Source organism: Homo sapiens, chromosome 19, assembly GCF_000001405.40.
Source record: "Homo sapiens chromosome 19, GRCh38.p14 Primary Assembly".
Classification (NCBI taxonomy): Eukaryota; Metazoa; Chordata; class Mammalia; order Primates; family Hominidae; genus Homo; species Homo sapiens.
The window spans coordinates 32,625,221-32,641,112 of record NC_000019.10 but is presented as its reverse complement, the minus strand read 5'-3'; the positions used below and the strand labels follow the sequence as shown (position 1 = coordinate 32,641,112).

The 15,892-nt window shown below is 50.2% G+C and overlaps 1 protein-coding gene and 1 pseudogene across 1 annotated transcript in view, besides 1 other annotated feature; one reads left to right on the top strand and one right to left on the bottom strand.

Moving 5' to 3' along the window:
* ANKRD27 (ankyrin repeat domain 27) overlaps positions 1 to 15,892 on the top strand; it is a 78,175-nt gene that overhangs the window by 34,068 nt on the left and 28,215 nt on the right. Inside the window, exons 11-17 of the mRNA NM_032139.3 lie at positions 728 to 806; positions 1,625 to 1,757; positions 9,619 to 9,711; positions 12,264 to 12,391; positions 12,948 to 13,030; positions 14,286 to 14,401; positions 15,147 to 15,239. Coding sequence (NP_115515.2) covers positions 728 to 806; positions 1,625 to 1,757; positions 9,619 to 9,711; positions 12,264 to 12,391; positions 12,948 to 13,030; positions 14,286 to 14,401; positions 15,147 to 15,239 — 725 coding nt within the window. The remainder of the gene's footprint in view (positions 1 to 727; positions 807 to 1,624; positions 1,758 to 9,618; positions 9,712 to 12,263; positions 12,392 to 12,947; positions 13,031 to 14,285; positions 14,402 to 15,146; positions 15,240 to 15,892) is intronic.
* RPS12P31 (ribosomal protein S12 pseudogene 31) lies at positions 4,638 to 5,035 on the bottom strand (annotated as a pseudogene).
* Positions 12,296 to 12,590: an enhancer, noted in NCBI's record as "tiled region #4203; K562 Activating DNase matched - State 5:Enh". NCBI's record gives its function as "activates a minimal TATA promoter and a strong SV40 promoter by Sharpr-MPRA in K562 cells {active_cell/tissue: K562}" and the evidence as "EXISTENCE:reporter gene assay evidence [ECO:0000049][PMID:27701403]".

Sequence of the window (15,892 nt, the reverse complement as noted above, 5' to 3'; positions counted from 1 at the left end):
TGGCTAGCACGGTGAAACCCTGTCTCTACTAAAAATGCAAAAAAAAATTAGCTGGGCATGGTGGCGGGCACCTGTAGTCCCAGCTGCTCAGGAGGCTGAGGCAGGAGAGTGGCGTGAACCCGGGAGGCGGAGCTTGCAGTGAGCCAAGATTGCGCCACTGCACTCCAGTCTGGGTGACTGAGCGAGACTCCGTTTCAAAAACAAACAAACAAAAAAAAGAGACAGGGTCTCACTCTGTCACCCAGGCTGGGTGCATTTGTAGATCACTACATCCTTGAACTCCTGGGCTCAAGTGATCCTCTTGCCTCAGCCTCCCAAGTACCTGGGATTACAGGCATGCACCACCACCCTTGGCTAATTTTCATATTTTTTTGTAGAGGTGGGGGTCTTGCTATATTGCCCAGGCTGGCCTCAGACTCCTGGCCTCAAGCAATTCTCCCGTCTCGGCCTCCCAAAGCACTGGGATTACAGGCACGTGCTGCCGTATCTGGCTAGAGTTACTAATACCTTGTTTTGGTCATGTTCTGAAATTGCTGGGCATTCTTTTCCCCCTGGACCTGACATCTGATCAGGACGCTGTAAAGGAGCTTGTGCAATGACATTTCTCCCCCAGTGTATGATCTCCCTGATACGTGGTTTCACAAGGTGTGCGGTGGTAGGGAGTTGATATGCTTGTCAGTCCATTTGAATCTCATGATGGCATTGAATGTGTGTTTCCCCTTTGCAGTGAACCTGGAGACCATGTGTGCTGATGATCTGCTATCAGTCCTGTTATACTTGCTTGTGAAAACGGAGATCCCTAATTGGTAACATTTTCTTTTAAGATACTCTTTTGAAAATGGCAGTGCTTGGCCGGGCACGGTGGCTCACGCCTGTAATCCCAGCACTTTGGGAGGCCAAGGCGGGCGGATCACGAGGTCAGGAGATCGAGACCATCCTGGCTAACACGGTGAAACCCCGTCTCTACTAAAAAATACAAAAAAATTAGCTGGGCATGGTGGTGGGCACCTGTAGTCCCAGCTACTCAGGAGGCTGAGGCAGGAGAATGGCGTGAACCCAGGAGGCGGAGCTTGCAGTGAGCTGAAATCGCGCCACCGCACTCCAGCCTGGGCGACATAGCGAGACTCCGTCTCAAAAAAAAAAAATGGCAGCACTGCACTGTGGTAGTTCTAATGTAACTCTAGGAAAAGCCCATCTTCAATTGGACACCTGTTACGAGCTAGGTGTGGGGCCTCCCCTTGCTTCATCCATCCACTTACAGATGGGGAAACCAAGGCCCGGAGAGCTTACATTTCTTGTTCTGGAATGAGTGTCTAGACAGTGGTTGAGCAGAAAGCTGATTGCCATTCTTTCTGGCCCCAAAACCCATAATCTCTCCCCTGGAACCCACAGCTCAGTTTACGGTAATCAGCTTGCTAAAGACTATTTCAGGGAACTAGCTAGTCATTTTACTTGTGTTCCTAATCGCACACACTCTGCAGAGAGATCCAGGGGATGGTGGTCGTAGCTTCCTGAGCGAACCAACTGACTAGATATTTGATCAGTTGCCCAAGCCAATGATATTTTTTTTGCAGAAGTGTGACTTGGATAGACAACAACATAACTTTTTTCTTCCTTTCATTAGGATGGCAAATTTGAGTTACATCAAAAACTTCAGGTTTAGCAGCTTGGCAAAGGATGAACTGGGATACTGCCTGACCTCATTCGAAGCTGCCATTGAATATATTCGGCAAGGAAGCCTCTCTGCTAAACCCCCTGTAAGATCTCACCCCTGCCCTGGCCTTCCTTTGTGGGCATCATGGTTCCCTTGATAGGGTGCTGGGGTTGGTATGTGGGCAGACGGATTCTTAAATTGCCTCCCAGGAATGGGGCCTCAGCTGTTTGAGGGCTGTGAGTCTTAAAAATCACTCAGTGAAGAGAACACCAAGCCCTCAATTGGTGGTAAAAATTGGTGGGTTATCATTGGGATTTACATTGTTAATATCCTACTTCATTAGTCCCCATCCTCTCCAAAGACATGTGGGTGCAAAGGGAAGCCAGAAGTAGGGAATTTGGATTTCTTGACCTTGATAGTCAAGAAGTGATGTCACGGGATCCCTGGACTGTCGCTTTTCCAGCCGGAAACCTCTGTGGCTGGTGGCTCCTTTGCCTGAGTTTTGTTCGGGCCTGCTGGGCTCATTTCACGCTCTTGGCCTGGCAGGCTGCGCTCGGCTTGTGCTACTGGCCTGGATCCCATGCCTGCCAAGGGCGAGCCAGGTGTGGAGTGGCGAGGGGTATGTGAGCAAGTGCAGGGTCTGGCCACTGCACACAACCAGGTGTGCCGACTGAGGTGGGGTGGGCAGCTCCAAGTTGCTTGTACAGGGTCCTGCTCCATGCAAGGCTGCAGCTAGAGCAGGCGTACTGTAGGCCGCTTCCACGGTGGGCACTGGGGAACACAGTGGGGCCTGGAAGCTTGGAGACACCAGGAACTGCAGAGCCCCAAAGAGGGTGTCATAGCCCTGGCTCGGGGAACTCCTAGGTTGGGCTCCCTGAAGGGCCAGAGCTCTTCTCTCCTCTCGTCACCTGCAATGTAGTGAGTCGGGAGCATGTTTTAGCTCTCTTTATGTTACAGCTCTTTCAGTCCTGCCATTTGGTGGGTCCCGAGTTCTTGTCCCATGTCGAGGAAGAATGAGGTACGTAGACTAGTGGAGGGTGAGCAAGGCAGAGAGGAGCTTTACTGAACGGCAGAATAGCTCTCAGGAGACCCACAGTGGGCAGCTTCTTTCCACAGGCAGGTCGTCCTGACGAGTTAAAGAGGCCTGACGTAGGTAGCTCCTTCCTGCAGTTGGTAGTCCCGACATCTGTCTGAGTCTGGCTGAGTCCGGGGTTTTTTATGGCTCAGAAGGGAGGGAGTATGTGCTGATTGGTCCATAGGTGGGCCTGGAGAAAGCACCATGAGTTCTCAGTCTGGGTCGTGGACTCCACTTGGGACTGACAGCCCGGCCCCCAGGCTTTAGGCTGTCCCTGTCTTGAAGGTGGGGCTTCACTGGGCACCTGCACCTTTCCACCCAGAAGCGTGTCTGCCTTCTGCCACCATCAACATGCTGGCCAGTGCATCCAGGCTGTTTGTGCCAAGGGGCATCTGCAGGCCTGCACTGAGCTGCCCTCAGCCCCTACCTTGACTACTCTCCCATGCTCATCAGCGCCCAAAATCTTGGAGGGGTCTGAGGCATCAGGAGGCTGGTGTGTCAGTGTCACACCAAGCATGTGCACACATGGCTGGGTTGCAACAGTACCCGGGCTTGGCCTCAGCTTTGCTCTGAAATTGAAGTCGGTGCCAGGAGTGGGGAGGAGCGGGAGCAGGCACTTACGAGCCTGCGGCGGCAGGGATGCTTCCTGGGCCCCTGAGAGTGCAGAGATTCCTGGATCCAGAGCTGCGGCTGGGCGGCTGCAGCTGCGCCTGGGAGTGCAGGGCTCCCGCCCTGCCAGCTCAGTAGGAGATGGGGGCTCCTGCCTGTTCCTGGCTCCTGTTGGCCCTGCAGAGTGCACAAACCTGGCCGCGCTTCCTCCACTGCAGCTTACGTCTTTGCAGCAGCCACTCCCGATGGGCTGCCACTGCCATCTGTGAGACCATTAATGTGTGCAATTTGAGGACTCAGTGGCCTTGCCATTGTTTCCTTGGTTTTTATTGAGCATTGGCTGGGGTCGGCGAGGGGATGTGATTATATTTCTATGTGAATCGTGAGAATCTTGAACCATGGTTGTCCTGCTGGCCTGTTTTACTACATACCAATGAGTAAAATGTGATCATACAGAAATCACAAAGTTGAAATCTATAAAATGAAAAGATCTCTGTATTATAAGGTGAGAGTGCCAAGGATTGAACATTCATCTTTGTCAGACTTTGATGTAGAATCTCCCAAAATAATGATGAGCTAAAGCGTCTGGGAGACAGCATCAGCCTGTCCAGGTGCTCTCAGGTGCAGGCATTTCCACCCCATTCATTCGTTATTGACACGTTCATGCATTTTCAGTCTTTTTCCTACCCATGTATATTTTACATAATTGAAATTATATTGTGTGCTGGGCCGGGCACGGTGGCTCACGCCTGTAATCCCAGCACTTTGGGAAGCCAAGGCAGGTGGATCATCTGAGGTCAGGAGTTCGAGACCAGCCTGGCCAACATGGTGAAACCCTGTCTCTACTAAAAATACAAGAATTAGCTGGGTGTGGTGGCAGGTGCCTGTAATCCCAGCTACTTGGGAGGCTGAGGCAGGAGAATTGCATTAATCCGGGAGGCAGAGGTTGCAGTGAGCTGAGGTTACACCACTGCACTCTAGTCTGAGCAACACAGCAAGACTCTGTCTCAAATATGTGTATATATATATAAAAAATATATATATATATATAGAGAGAGAGAGAGAACTGTTTTTTTCCCAAAAGAATAGCTTAATTTTTTCCTAATTAGAAGACTAATATTTGCTTACAAATAATATTTGCAGTCTATAAAATGGCAGTGAAGACAACAAAAACTTCCCATAAACTTACTAGCCAGGGGTGACACTTATTAATATTTTAGCATTTGTCTTTTTTTCTGTGCATACACAATTGTATCTTTTTTTTTTTTTTTGAGGCATGTGAGCCAGCATTTTATTCGTTCATTTCTTGCATGTGAAGCACTCCTCAATCACATCCTTGGCCCGAGATTCTTTGCCAAAGTCCTTAACTGCTACATAGCTGCAGCTAGCCCCTTCATAGGGTCTCCCCTCTCTGTCGTTTTACAGAGGCCTTACCCATTCCTTTCGTTTCTCATTGTCATCAATCTTAATTAGTTTGACCTGGTGTTCAGCACCTAGGGTCTCCCTAATGTGGCACATGCAGGCTTATCACAGTTGGATGCAGGCACACCAAGATGGGCTCAGCAGTCGTCTGAGGCTTTGGCAGCTTGGCGAATTCCATGTGCTAGGCCACCGTGGATGAAGGCGTCCTTCAGCACCCCTTGTAAATCAGTGTTAACATCCATTACACCGCCAGCAGCAGTGTCTTCCTCGGCCATGGCAGTGGGTCACGGGTGCAGCAGTGCAATGTCTTCCTCAGCCACGGTTGTGGGTCATGGGTGCAGCAGTGCAAGACCTTCCTCAGCCATGGCAGTGGGTCACAGGTGTAGCAGTACAATGCCTTCCTTGGCTATGGCGGTGGGTCACGGACGCAGCTGAATCTTGAACACACCTGAGCCTCTGCCTCCACGTGACTTGGCGGTAACAAGGAATGAACACAGTTATCTTTTTAACCAAAATTTTAGATCATGATCTCGCTGTACTCGTTGACAGTATTCAGGTACTTGTTGAAGAATTAATCTCTGCTCTTCTCTGAAGTCTGATTTAATCACCCCACTCAGCTGCCAGTGAAATTGGGGGTCATCCATCGCATCTCGGATGTGGCTGGCTGTGGCTCTTCTGAAAAGTTTCTTTCTTCTGCCTTGTTTCCATATTTAGGGGGAAATCAGCAAGATTCTAGAGTATGTATGTGGGCTGGGTGCAGTGGCTCATGCCTATAATCCCAGCACTCTGGGAGGCTGAGGCGGGTGGATCACCCGAGGCCAGGAGTTGGAGACCAGTGTGGGCAACATAGTGAGACCTTGTCTCTACAAATAAATAAATAAATAAAAAAGAATGCGTGTGTGTGTGCTCTTGTGTCTCTACCTATGCGTGTGTGCAGATCAGAATTTCTGTTCATTTCCAAGGCTGGGGAGTAAGAGTTGTGAGTTTGACTTGTTTTCTATGAGGCTGTGGGAACTTGTGTTTCTCTCACCGTGCCTGCGGTGGTTTTTGCCCTGCCCTCTGGTTCTTGCAGGGCAAGAAACAGATTGGTCTGAGAGTTCACTCCCTGGCCGGCTTTCCTGCCCTGCAGAGGAATCACTCTGCTGTGCCTTGCTGGGCCCAGGGTGTCTCTGGTCACCTGGAAGGAGGTGTCCACCTCTCAAAGATGCTCCCATCCCCTTGCTGCTCCCTGTAGCGTGGCTGTCTTCTGCTTTCTCATTTTCTGTGGAGGCCTTCACCAGGTTGTAAGGAGGTGGCTGACCAAACAGTATACATCGGCTTCTCACACCTCCTTTTATTTCAGAAAATATTGCAGGCACATTGGCAGTAATATTTGAGAGGTTCCTTCTCTCGTGCTGGTGTTGGTTTGAGGGTTTGAGTCCAGTCTTTCTTTTTTTTTGAGACTGAGTCTCGCTCTGTCACCCAGACGGGAGTGCAGTGGTGCAATCTCAGCTCAATGCAACCTCCACCTCCCGGGTTCAAGCGATTCTCCTGCCTCAGCCTCCCAAGTACCTGGGACTACAGGCACGCACCACTACGCACGGCTAATTTTTGTATTTTTGTGGAGATAGGATTTTGCCATGTTGGCTGGGCTCGTCTTGAACCCTTGACCTCAAGTGATCCGCCTGCCTCAGCCTCCCAAAGTGCTGGGATTACAGGTACCAGCCACTGCGCCCAGCCTGAGTCCACTCCTATAGGCTCAGATGTCTTGGGCATGTCTGTTTGTCTCTGCATCTGGGGTGTAAGGATGCCCCTAAGGATAGTGTTTAGTTTGGATGGGAAAGGGAGGGTCACAGCCCAAGGCACCCCTCTTGTTGTCAGGGTGTTGGACCCTGGTTCTGCCCTCCTGGATGGAGTATGGTTGGTTCTGGTGAAACCTTGAGACAGGTATGCATCATCCTCACGGCTGGCTGTGAAGCCCACCCTGCAGGTATTGAGAGATGCTCGTATATTTACTGTGGCCTGTAATTGACGGAGCAGGCGTCGTGGCTTCCTTGTTGTTGTGATTCTGTCTGTATCATGGCCTCTGTCTTAGCTGCTCACTGGTTTAAGTAATGAAGTTCCCTTTAGGAATGTAGAGAGTCATTGCTATGTATTGATGGTGTTTCCTAGGGAAAAATCCCAAGTGTATCTCCTCACAGCAGAAGAGGTTTCTGAAAAGTATTAAGGACTAAATATGAGGACATCCAGTTAGATTTTACTATTGATTTTATATAATATAGTTTCATGGAAATTTTCTCTGCAAAATATACTTGAGATGACCATAAGCTTTTATTTTTCTTAGAGACAGGATCTCGCTCTGTCACCCAGGGTGGAGTGCAGTGGTGTGATCCTAGCTCACTGCAGCCTCCAACTCCTGCGCTCAAAGGGATCCTCCTGCCTCAGCCTCCTGGGTGGCTGGGACTACAGGTGTGTGCCACCACACCTGGCTAATTTTTTAATTCTTAAATTTTTTGTAGAGATGAGGTCTCGCTATTTTGCCCAGGCTGAGCTTGAACTCCTGGGCTCATGTGATCCTCCCACCTCAGCTTCCCAAAGTGCTGGGATTACAGGCATGAGCCACCACACCTGCTCAACATTCTTTAAGCATGTTCATAAATGAAGACTTCAGCTTTCTGAAAATAAATTACTGGGATGACTCTAGAGTTACCTTTGTGAATGAAAAAAAGAGAGAACTTTGAAAGAATCTGGGTTGGGCCTGGTCACTCATGCCTGTAATCCCAGCACTTTGGGAGGCTGAGGCAGGAGGATCACCTGAGGCCAGGAGTTCGAGACCAGCCTGGGCAATGTAGCGAGACCGCCATCTTTACAAAAAATTAGCGGTGCACGGTGGCACACCTTTAGTCCCAGCTACTTGGGAAGCTAAGGTGGGAGGATCACTTGAACCTGGTAGTTCAAGGCTGTAGTGAGCTATGATTATACCACTGCAGTCCAGCTTGGGAGACAGAGCAAGACCCCGTCTCAAAAAAAAAAAAAAAAAAACAGATAAAAAAACAAGAAAGAACCTGTACCATTCTTGTCTGCAGCTTTGCATGCTTCTGGCCTTCCTTACGTTACTGGGTTTCTCATAGAAAGGATTTACCCATTTCTTTAGTAAGTCCTTGCTGATACCCCCTCTCTTCCAATAGCTCATTCTTCCCTGAAGATTCAGTCTTGGGAGACCTACCTGTCTTCATCACTGCTGTCTAAATCGTTAACCAGAGTTGCGGAAAGAGTGCTGGATTTACCCGGATAACAATGTGTGATGTTTCTCTGACCCTAAGCTCCTCAGCTGTGAATTGCGGTGTAAAGTGGATTGTTAGAGCTTTATATGGCACACAGCAGCTGGGGGCAGAAGTGCCTCTCACAGGTGCTGCTGTTCATTTGCTAAGTTAACCCTCCTGGGGGACTGCTGGGAGGACCCTGCATGGCAGAGGACCCCAGGAATGGCCTATCCCCAGAGATGCTGTCAGCTCTATCTTTAGGTGGACCTCCAAGTCAAAACTTAGAGGGCTGTAAAGAGACATCCTTATTCCACAAATTTGTCAGGGTTTGGGGGTTTTCTGGCAGCCGCTGGCTGGAGAAAATTCCCTTGACTTCCCACCAAGACCCTTTTCAGGAAGCGAATTTGTCATTACATGGTTTGGTTGCAGGTGCTCAAGGAAGCATTGAACTGTCTTGCGAGAAATGATTTCATAAAGTATTATGGAAAGTATCTAGAGTTTTGCCTTTTTTTTTTTTTTTTTTTTTGAGATGGAGTCTTGCTCTGTCACCCAGGCTGGAGTGTAGTGGCACCATCTTGGCTCACCGCAACCTCCACTTGCGGGGTTCAAGTGATTCTCCTGCCTCAGCCTCCTGAGTAGTTGGGATTACAGGCGCCCGCCACCACACCCGGCTAATTTTTGTATTTTTAGTAGAGAGGGGTTTCACCATGTTGGCCAGGCTGGTCTCAAACTCCTGACCTCAAGTGATCCACGCGCCTCGGCCCCTCAAAGTGCTGGGGTTACAGGCATGAGCCACCGCGCCTGGCCTATTTATTTATTTTTGAGATGGAGTCTCGCTCTCTCACCCAGGCTAGAGTGCAGTGGTGTGATCTCAGCTCACTGTAACCTCTGCCTCCCAGGTTTAAGTGATTCTTCTGCCTCAGCCTCCCAAGTAACTGGGACTACAGGCATGTACCACCATGCCCTGCTAATTTTTTGTGTTTTTAATAGAGATTGGTTTCACCATGTTGGCCAGGCTCGTATTGAACTCCTGACCTCAGGTGATCCGTTCACCTCAGCCTCCCAAAGTGCTGGGATTATAGGTGTGAGCCACTGCGCCTGGCCATGTGGCCATATTATTTAATAGGCACGTCCAAAAAGCAAGACCCCTCTCTCTCCTGCTGGTTGACAGTGGGAAATTGAGACCAGCTTGTGAAATGGCTTTCCTGCCCAAAGGCCTCAGATAAGACAGCAGGGAATTGGGCTCTGCAGGCATTTGGTCAGAGGCTTGAGGAGGAAGGGAGGCCACGGCAATGTGAGTTTCCATCTGGAGGACAATGGTGTGTGTGCGCCGCATTCCACGCTGGAGATGGCACATTCCACATATACACGCAGTCAGGGTGCCGCCACCATCCCCATCCCCCACAGGGAGCAACCGTCAAAGCCTCCACTTCCAGGAAGCCTTCTCCCCACCTGACGTCAGCCCGTCCTCCGTCTCAGTGAGCAGGTCCCATATGAGACGGGAGAGAGGCGCAGCCGATACTGCTCTGAAGAGACAGCCGGGGTTGTTGCTGAGGTGCTGGGTTTTGAAGGATCTGCACTGACATCTCGTGGTGTGTTTGGTTTTTTCCCTGCAGGAGTCTGAGGGATTTGGAGACAGGCTGTTCCTTAAGCAGAGAATGAGCTTACTCTCTCAGATGACTTCGTCTCCCACCGACTGCCTGTTTAAGGTGAGATACCAAGACATCTCTGTGGGTAAATGTGGGTGAGGAACACTGCATCTCTTGGTGCCTCTATAAAATCCATCAGGGTTGGCCAGGCATGGTGGCTCATGCCTATAATCACAGCACTTTGGGAGGCCGAGGTGGGTGATAACCTGAGGCCAGGAGTTCAAGGCCAAGTGTGGCCAACATGGTGCAACAGCCGCCTCTACTAAAAATACAAAAATTAGCTGGGTGTGGTGACACATGCCTGTAGTCTCACTATTCGGGAGGCTGAGGCAGGAGAATCGTTCGAACCCAGAAGGTGGAGGTTGCAGTGAGCCGAGATCATGCCATTGCACTCTAGCCTGGGCGACAGAGAGACTCTGTCTCAAAAAGAAAAAAAAAATGATCAGGGTGGTGGTCTGCATAAACCCTGAAGTTCCATTCTGTGCTCAGAATGGGCAGTAGGAATGCTGAGGTTTTAAATTTGGGATCAAGGCCAGGTGGGGTGGCTTACTTCTGTAATCCCAGCACTTTGGGAGGCCGAAGTGGGAGGATCACTTGAGGCCAGAAGCCCGAGACCAGCCTGGGTAACATCATGAGTACCCGTCTCTACAAAACAATACAAAAATTAGCCAGGTGTGGTGGCGGGCACCTGTAGTCCTAGCTGCTCAGGAGGCTGAGGTGGAAGGATCAGTTGAGGCCAGGAGTTGGAGGCTGCCGTGAGCTATGATTGTGCCGTTGCACTCCAGCCTAGGTGGCAGAGTGAGAGCGGCATGTTTCCCCACCTCCCCCAGCGTGCTGTGCTGTAGCTGTGCTGGGCGGCACACTGTGGGCGCAGGCCAGGCCTCTTGCTTTCTCAGTTCCTCGCAATACTACTAATTCCTCCAGGCCAGCTCAGTGGTGCCTCCGCTGGCAGCCCTGGCAGAGCTGATGCCTCCGCTGGGCTCGAGGAGCCCGTTGTCAGATGTTTATGGGCGTGTGCACTGGGTTGGGAACACGGTGCCTGACTTCCTGGTGGTCTGGTCACCTGGCACATGGGGGCAGCTCCCTGCTCAGACACTGGCCACAGGCAGGCCGCTGAGGTGCCCGCAGGGCAGTCCGTGAGTGCTGGGCGAGGGCAGAGCCCCCTGGGGGAGGCTGCTGTGCTTCCAGGCGACCTGGAGCCAGAGTGGGTCCTGGGGAATGAGCACGTCCAGGAAGCACCAGGTGAGCTCTGCAGGTTTGTGTGTTGATGGGGTTTCCTGCTCATTGCAGCTATTCTCTTTCCTTTACAGGCTGATGCTCTATTAGAATAAAAGAGGATCCCCTAGTCCATAGCAAGTATAAAAATAATAATAAATAAAAAAATAACAAGATGAAGCTGGGCATGGTGGTGTGCACTTGTAGTCCCAGCTATATGGGAGGCTAAGGTGGGAGGATCACTTGAGCCCGAGAGGTTGAGGCTGCAGTGAGCTCTGATTGTGCCACTCTACTCCAGCCTGGGCAACATAGCAAGACCTTGTTTCTAAAAAAATAAATAAATAAATTCTGTTATTTGTCACCCTGTAGGGATTCACTGAAAAAAAAAAAAAAAAAAAAAAAGAACACAAGAGGAACAGGGCTGAGGCTTTTTCTAGTGAGGTGGCAAAATCCACACTGATGTTCAGAGATGTGTTGTCTGCCCGCCATTCCTATTGCTTTATGGATTTTGTCATGTTGTTTTTTTGTTTGTTTGTTTTTATTTTTTGTGACAGAGTCTCACTCTGTCACCCAGGCTGGAGTGTAATGGTGCGATCTTGGTTCACTGCAACCTCCATCTCCCGGGTTCAAGTGATTCTCCTGCCTCAGCCTCCCGAGTCGCTGGGATTACAGGCGTCTGCCACCACATCCGGCTAAGTTTTGTATTTTTAGTAGAGACAAGGTTTTACCATGTTGGCCAGGCTAGTCTCGAACTCCTGACCTCAAATGAGCCACCTGCCTTGGCCTCCCAAAGTGCTGGGATTATAGGCGTGAGCCACCGCTCCAGGCATGTCATTGTTTTTTTAATTATGGGAAACTTTTAACATTTCCAGAAATAGAGTAGTAGAATGAGCCGGCCACCATTGTGCAGTTGTTTCATCTCTCCTCACCTACTTTCCCTACCACCAAGATGATTACAAAGGAAATGCCAGAGTGCAAATCATTTCATCCATAAACACATAGATGAGCATTTCTAAAAGGACTCTCGGCCAGGTTTGGTGGCTCACGCCTGTAATCCCAACACTTCGGGAGGCCGAGATGGGTGGATCACTTGTGGTCAGGAGTTTGAGACCAGCCTGGCCAACATGGCAAAACCCCGTGTCTACTAAAAATATAAAAATTAGCCAGGTGTGGTGGCAGATGCCTCTAATCCCAGCTACTTGGGAGGCTGAGGCAGGAGAATGGCTTGAACCCGGGAGGCAGAGGTTGCAGTGAGCTGAGATCACACCATTGCACTCCAGCCTGGGCGACAGGACGAGACTCCATCTCAAAAAAACCAAAAAGGACTCTCAAAAAATTTACTCCTAATAATTGAGTAATTCCAGCATGTGGATAGCATCTTGGATGTCACTTTTCAGCACATTGCATCAGGTAACCAGAAAGAAGTGGAGAGACTTCTGAGCCAAGAGGACCATGATAAAGATACCGTCCAAAAGATGTGTCACCCTCTCTGCTTCTGCGATGACTGTGAGAAACTCGTCTCTGGGTAAGAGGGTGCTGGTGGAGGCTCAGAGTGCCAGGAAGCAGGAGACAGGCCTCCTGGACCTTCTCCACTGTGCGCTGTGTGACTGCAGATAAGGACTGTCCTCCCTGCCCCCCAGCTGCCTCTGCTGTACAGTGGAGATGATAACAGCTGCCCCTTTGGAGAATCAGATAGGTTAGAGGTTGTCAAAGCACTTGCTCACTGGCGGGCTGGCTGCCAGGGTAGGCTGGTTATAGGGCCTGCCCCAGCCTCAGAAAGGGGGTTTTAGGATGGGAGGAATGTCAGTTTTTCCCAGTAACATTTTTGGTTTCCCATTATCCTTGTCAGGCTATTTTGCTGGGTGTGGAGGCCTAAAGGGTTGGTGGGGGAGAGACTCCAGGGCCAGGTGCCTCTGTTCCTCATGCTGGGTGAGCACTGGGACAGTGCCGGAGACACACATCTCTTGGGTGGCATCCTGTGAGCCGCCTTCTGTCTGTGGTACCTGCCTATCTACCTGGTCAGGGAGAGGCTTTGCTGTGCCATTCCCCTGTGTAGTTTTCTATCTCTTTCTGTATTTTAGGAGGTTGAATGATCCCTCAGTTGTCACTCCATTCTCCAGAGACGACAGGGGGCACACCCCTCTCCATGTGGCTGCTGTCTGTGGTATGTGGTCCTGGGCTGGCCCCTAGGGGCTGTCACAGCAAAGGGATGGTGCCCAAGGTGACCCAGCAGAGAGGCCTGGCTGATGGGCTGGGTGGGGGTTGGCAGTTGGGGCTGCATCGTGGGTCCACCCTCCAAGGGCCGGAAGGAGAAGAGGAGCAAACGTTCCACAGGCCTCGACGGCCACCCTGCTGCCTCCTGCGCTGGCTGAGCCCCCCTGCGTGGGTCCCACGGCATGGAAACACTGCCTAACGCTCCCGCAGGCTGGGGGCCCAGCAAGGGAAGGCTTGAATCTGAACTATGAGAACGGTCTCAGAATCGTCAGCTCGCAGTTCTTGTGGCCCTGCCTTTAAAAAAATATTATTATTGTCTTTTAAAGTATACATTTGGCTGGGCATGGTGGCTCATGCCTGTAATCCCAGCACTTTGGGAGGCCGAGGCAGGCAAATCACTTGAGGTCAGACATTTGAGACCAACCTGGCCGACATGGAGAAACTCTGTCTCTACAAAACATACAAAAATGAGCCTGTTGTGGTGGTCACGCCTATAATCCCAGCTTCTTGGGAGGCTGAGTCAGAAGAATTGCTTGAACCTAGAAGGTGGAGGTTGTAGTGAGCTGAGATAGCACCACCGCACTCCAGCCTGGGTGGCTGAGTGAGACTCTGTCTCAAAAAATAAATAAATAAATAAATAAATAAATAAATAAATAAATAAATAAATAAAATAAAGTGCACATTCAAGATAGAAAACATAAGGTCCTCCAGAGTCCCCGGCCATCCCTGTCTCCCAGAGATCGTTGTGATTGATGAGTGTCTGGGGTGTCTGCATGCTTGTGTGGATGTGTGGACGCATAAAGTGTGTGGTGCTCTAGGGCTCATAATATTCTGTTGTGTGCTATTTTTCTCCTAGCACTATGCAAGAATATGTTTACTTGTCAGTATTTTTTAATGGCTGCATAATACTCCATCTTATGAACTGATGAGTCATGGAGCCTGTGGAAGTCTAAGTCTCTTTTCCATTATTGTTTATTGCTGAGAGGTGGACTTTTGCTGGGTCCCCTCCAAGGCCCACCCCAACATGTCTGGAGTCTGCGGAGCCTTACTTTATATTAGCTGTAGTTCCTCTCTAGCAGAAAAAGTATCTACCGTGGGTTTCATGCCCAGGACTAGGAGGGTGCAATAGTGTTGTGGTTTTACAGTTAAGGTGTGGAAGGCCTCTGCGCCTTCCTTCTCCATCGTGACGTCCTTCTGCTCTGCAGGGCAGGCATCCCTCATCGACCTCCTGGTTTCCAAGGGCGCCATGGTAAATGCCACAGACTACCATGGAGCCACTCCGCTCCACCTGGCCTGTCAGAAGGGCTACCAGAGCGTGACGGTGAGCAGTGGTGCCTTTGTGGCGGGCTGTCGCTTTGCTCCTGTGAGCTTGGTTCTGCGTGGTGACTGTACGGTCATGCTGGCTACCCTGCACCCCTGTCTCCTGGTGCTGTGCCCCCCTCGTTCCACACCAGCTCTGCTGCAGCAGTAGTCAGGGAGTCCAAGGACTCCCGGGGTCTCCTGGGAAGACTTTCTGAGTCTCCTGGACAAGATCGTTAGGTTTAGATTTGAAACTTCCTGGCCAGATGTGGTAGCTCACGCCTGTAATCCCAGTGCTTTGGGAGCCCAAAGCAGGAGGATCGCTTGAGCCCAGGAGTTCAAGACCAGCCTGAGCAACCTAGGGAGACCCTATCTCTACCAAAAAATATTTTTTTAAAATTATCTGGGCATGATGGTGTGTGCCTATAGTCCCAGCAACTTGAGAGGCTGATGCAGGAGGTTTGCCAGAGCCCAGCAGGTCGAGGCTGCAGTGAGCAATGATCGTGCCACTGCACTTCAGCCTGGGAGACAGGCTGAGTTCTCTAAAAAGAAAAACTTCCTGATCATATGGGGGAAGAAAAGGTGGGGCTTTAGACTTTTTTCTTCAGTCTCTCAAGTGTCAGGAATGATGGGTGTTGGTTTAATTTGAATAGTAGCATAAATAAGATCGAAGATGGGAGCAAATGACCTCCCCCTGCTAAGACTGGAGGCCGGGCCTCCCAGGGAGCCGGCTGTGCCCTGCTCATCGCTTTCCTTTATCTCCGCAGCTGCTGCTGCTGCACTACAAGGCCAGCGCGGAAGTGCAGGACAACAATGGGAATACGCCACTCCACCTGGCCTGCACCTACGGCCACGAGGACGTGAGTGGCTCTTGCTGTTCCGGGGGGGCTGCGTTCACCCTTTCCCACTCGTAGAGAAGTCGGGATTTCTCATTAATGTATTTTGTGTCGATAATTATTGGAACATTGGGTGTGTAAATTTTTTTAATATGAAAGAATGTTAGGCCAGGCACGGTGGCTCACGCCTGTAATCCCAGCACTTTGGGAGGCTGAGGTGGGCAGATCATCTGAGGTCAGGAGTTCGAGACCAGCCTGACCAACATGGTGAAACCCCCATCTCAACTAAAAATACAAAAATTAGCAGGGCGTGGTGGCGGGCACCTGTAATCCCAGCGACTCAGGAGTCTGAGGCATGAGAATCAGTTGAACCTGGGAGGTGGAGGTTGCAGTGAGCCAAGATGGCACCATTGTACTCCATCCTGGGTGACAGTGAGACTCCATCTCAAAAAAAAAAAAAAAGAGAATGTTTAATATATTACAGATGCCATATTGAAGTAACAAAGTTTAAAACAAGTCACTCATTATCTTATCCTGAAGTCAAATCATTTTCATTTCTCCTTGCTACCGTCTGGTTCTTACTTGTGTACATATTCAATTTTTACATTTTCTGTTTTTATTATTTACTTATTATTTATTTTTGAGACAGGGCCTCACTCTGGCACCTAGGCTGGAGT